At 35.6% G+C, this 4196-nt stretch overlaps 1 pseudogene; it reads right to left on the reverse strand.

Moving 5' to 3' along the window:
* Positions 1–3193: 3193 nt before the first annotated feature.
* Positions 3194–3399, reverse strand: SEC61GP1 (SEC61G pseudogene 1; annotated as a pseudogene).
* Positions 3400–4196: the final 797 nt, after the last annotated feature.

A 4196-nucleotide genomic window follows, 5' to 3' on the forward strand; every position in this document is an offset into this window, starting at 1 on the left:
CCAGAACACTAGTCCAATCCCATTGAGCAGTGACTACTATCCTGACTAGATAATTGTAATGTATACAATAATTAAAATGTTCAGATCAGTTTTATTCTCTGCTAGGTTGTAATAAAGCTTTATGGGTAGCTATAATTAACCTCTATTTATGTTAATTGTGAGCTTTTAGGGATCTTGCAGTTGTTTACCATGCAATTCTCTTAAAAGATGTCTGAAGCAGCATAAAGAGTATACACAGCAAGACTTGTAGCCATAGTCATTCAGTATGGAAAAATAAAAAGTTGCTAACAGTGACATGCAGAGGTCATTTATTTTTTGTTCACTATGAATTATTTAATTTGTTCCCTTATTAGGTATAGGAAGGTCATTTATGGCATCAAATAATTTTCTCAGAATGAGCTCAGGCTCTCAGTGGAGCTCCCAGGCTAACCTATGAAAGGTGGAAGATATTATCAATTTTCTCTACATCCACCATACTATTATTGTCTCCAAGGTTAGCTGAAGAGATGTAGCGAAATTCTGCCCCAAATGAGAACATAATGGAGACTAGACCTTTGGGTCGTGTCGTTATATTTCAAGCATCAGGGCTTCGCCTCTACTAGTTCCTTTGTTACATCTGTTCCTAGAGTGCTTTCTTTTTTTGTGGTTCTTATAAGGACCCTGATATTACCTTTGCCAACATCAAGGGCAGAATCACAATAGAAAGTATAGATGTGTAGCTCAGCAGTGGAAAGTTACTTAAAATAGAACTATTATTTTAAAATTGACATAAGAACCACAGTTTCAATTTACTTTGGATGTGAACACTAAAGTCTTCTGCTTGTATTTCTTTCCCACATATACATACATATATATATATATATATATATATATATGAATTGTGATATGTATATCACAATTTATTTTGTCAATTCAAAGTATATCTAACCATAACCCCAATTCATCTGAAAGACATTTATACATTTATAATTTTTAAAATTGAGAAACTTTAGTAACTGCAGGAGACTGAGGTAGAATTAATGCCAAGTATTGGGGAATTTCTATTGTTATGGGTCAAAACCTCACATTTATTTCCCTAATTACTTCTTCCAGTAGTCTCTACTCTATTTCTATATAGCAGGCACTGTATTTCAGGACCTAGAATTTTTCTTTCCTCAGGCAGCTCTTGCTACCAACTGTTAAATCAGAAATTATGCAGGATTTGAGATATTACCCTGTTAATATAACTGCCACAATTTTATAAACACACATATGTACACACAAACACACACACATATACATATATATGTACACACACACACATATATATAGATTCCTGCATATATATGTACATATATGGTATATATGAAGTGTATCTAAAATATATAAATCTCTATATATGTGTGTGTATATCTCTATCTCTGTTTTTATCAATCTGTATCTATTAATAGGAACACCATACTTCTGGATCAGAGAACAGACCTTTTATTTACTCATACCTAGAACAATCTGAGAAGCAGTGGCTGCCCATGCACCAGTTCCCCACAGAGTGAAAAAATGGTAGCAAAATCTACATGCTCTGTCCCCTGTACATGCAGGGCTTTGCACCAGACAAAATGCATCTGGGAATATAAAACCTGGAGCTTATTTAGGGAAGCTGGTACATTACACCATTCTCCCGCTGAAGAAGAGTGAGGGAGGCCTTTGTTCTGGAATGTAAACACATCCTCTCTGAGAAAGAGTGAAGGAAGGGGGCTGAGGAGAAGGTCTTTAATTCTCTTTTACTACTCTAAAATATAAACAAATGACTTGGGATTCATTATCCTTAGAAGGTAAGCAAAAGGATTCAAGGAAGAAGCAATTTTACTTTTCATTGGCAAGAAAAAAAAATCTCTAACTTCAAAGACATGCTTCCCATGCAACCTTCTTTAAACCAAGATACCAGTACTCTTCGCTCTGAAAGCCCTGACCATGCAGAAACATGCAAATATTCATGAAGCCTTATTATCCAACACCACCATAATGTGTGTGATGGTTAATAATGAGTGTCAACTTGATTGGATTGAAGGGTGCAAAGTATTGTTCCTGGGTGTGTCTGTGAGGGTATTGCCAAAGGAAATAAACATTTGAGTCAGTGGACTGGGAGAGGCAGGCCCACCCTCAATCTGGGTGGGCACGATCTAATCAGTTGCCAGCATGGCTAGAATAAAGCAGGCAGAAGAACATGGAAGGACTTGACTTGGTGAATCTTCCAGCCTTCATCTTTCTCCCATGCTGGTGCTTCTTGCCCTAAACATAAGAACTCCAAGTTCTTCAGCTTTTGGACTCTTGGCCTTATACAAGGGATTTGTCATGGCCTCTTGAGCCTTTGGTCACAGACTGAAGGGGGCACTTTTGACTTCCCTACTTTTTCGGTTTTGGGGCTCGGACTGGGTTCCTTCCTCCTCAGCTTGCAGACGGCCTATTGTGGGACTTCACCTTGTGATCTTTTGAGTCAATTCTCCTAATAAATTCCCCTTCATATATACACATATCCTATTAGCTCTGTCTACTTAGAGAAGCCAGACCAATACAATGTGCTTCCTCATATATTCACCAATCCTGGGCTTCTAAACTCCAAGAAATCCCTCTCTTCTTTTAAACTATAGTCCTCAAATTAATAGCATGTCTCTTCCTCTATCATCCTGGGCAGCCAACAAACAGTTTTCAATAATTTTAAACAATTCTCAAAAGATAACAAGAGCCAGTGCCTTCAAATGATTGGTGATTTCTTCTTTATAAAACCATCTTTAATGAAAGGAAAGTCAAAATGTGAAAATAATATGACACAAGACAAAACAAATATGGGATAAATAACAAATTCAGCAGCCCAACAATTTATACTGCCAAAGGTTCCTTCGTTACAGCCTTGCCTTGATAGTAGATCCTCCTCTTACACAATGACTTTTATTACTGAAAATGTAATTTTGCATTGTACAGCCTCCACAAATTCTGATATGAAAATCTTTAAATGTTGTTCTAAGTGTTTAAACAATGTTCTTTGTCTTCTTTCCTTTTTCTTTTCATGTTATTTTAATTTAGAAATAGAAAACATCTTGGAAGAAATAAAAAGGAAGAAACCACAAAATATTCAGCAAATTTTCACTCCATGAGCTTCTCAAACCCTCACTTGTTCACCCATCCCTAAGATGGAAAACACTCCTCCAAAACATATTCAGCTACCAGCAATTATGTTATTAATAGGAATATGAACCAATTGCACAGAAAATCCAATGAATCCCATTATAGCAAATCTTATTGCTGTTGCCATGGCAATCTTCTGAAATTTTTTTCTATCAGGTTCGGAGCATCTTTAACCAGCTGAACTGAGTCCTTTACAAACTGCCAACTTGGCTCAACAAACTGTATTACATGATCCATGATTGCCTGTACCAGCTAAGATGCCCAAACCATGTTCTTTCATTTGAGGAGACAATCAAATATTTTTGAACAGGGTTGTGTCCATAATGGTAATTTATAGTAATTATTTCAGTGGCAATTGGGTCAAAATATTAATGTGGATACATAGGAGACTGGGAAAACACAGCAGAGAATATTGCAATAGTCTAGGTGTAAGACCATACATTCATAAATCATTCTAGCAATGAAAATAATAAAAAGATGACTTTGAAAGTAGGAGACATTTGAAAATAGTAACTCATACATGAGTTTTCAAGTATGGGATAGTTAAAATTCAAAATCAACAACACTTATGTAGTGAGAATAATGAAAATATCCTTGATTACAAGTAAAGGAAAAACAGAATAGAGAACCCAGAAATAAATCCATGCATTTACAATCAACCTGTTTTAGACAAAGTTGACAAAAATATACATTGTGGTAACATACATCTCTTCAATAAATGGTATTGTAAAAACAGGATATCCATATGCAGAAGAATAAAATTAAACCCCCATTTCTTGCCACATAAAAATTAAATCAAAATAAATGAAAGACTTAAATCTAAGACTGGAAACTATAAAACTACCAGAAGAAAACACTGGGGAAATGCTTCAGGACATTTAAGCAAAGATGTCTTGAGTAAGACCTCAAAAGCACAGGCACTCAAAGCAAAAATGGACAAATGAGATCCCATCAAGCTTACAAGCTTTGGCATAACACAGGAAATTATTAACAGAATGAAGGACAATCTACAGAATGGAAGGAAATATTTTAAA

Source organism: Homo sapiens, chromosome 2 (genome assembly GCF_000001405.40).
Source record: "Homo sapiens chromosome 2, GRCh38.p14 Primary Assembly".
NCBI classification, from domain to species: domain Eukaryota; kingdom Metazoa; phylum Chordata; class Mammalia; order Primates; family Hominidae; genus Homo; species Homo sapiens.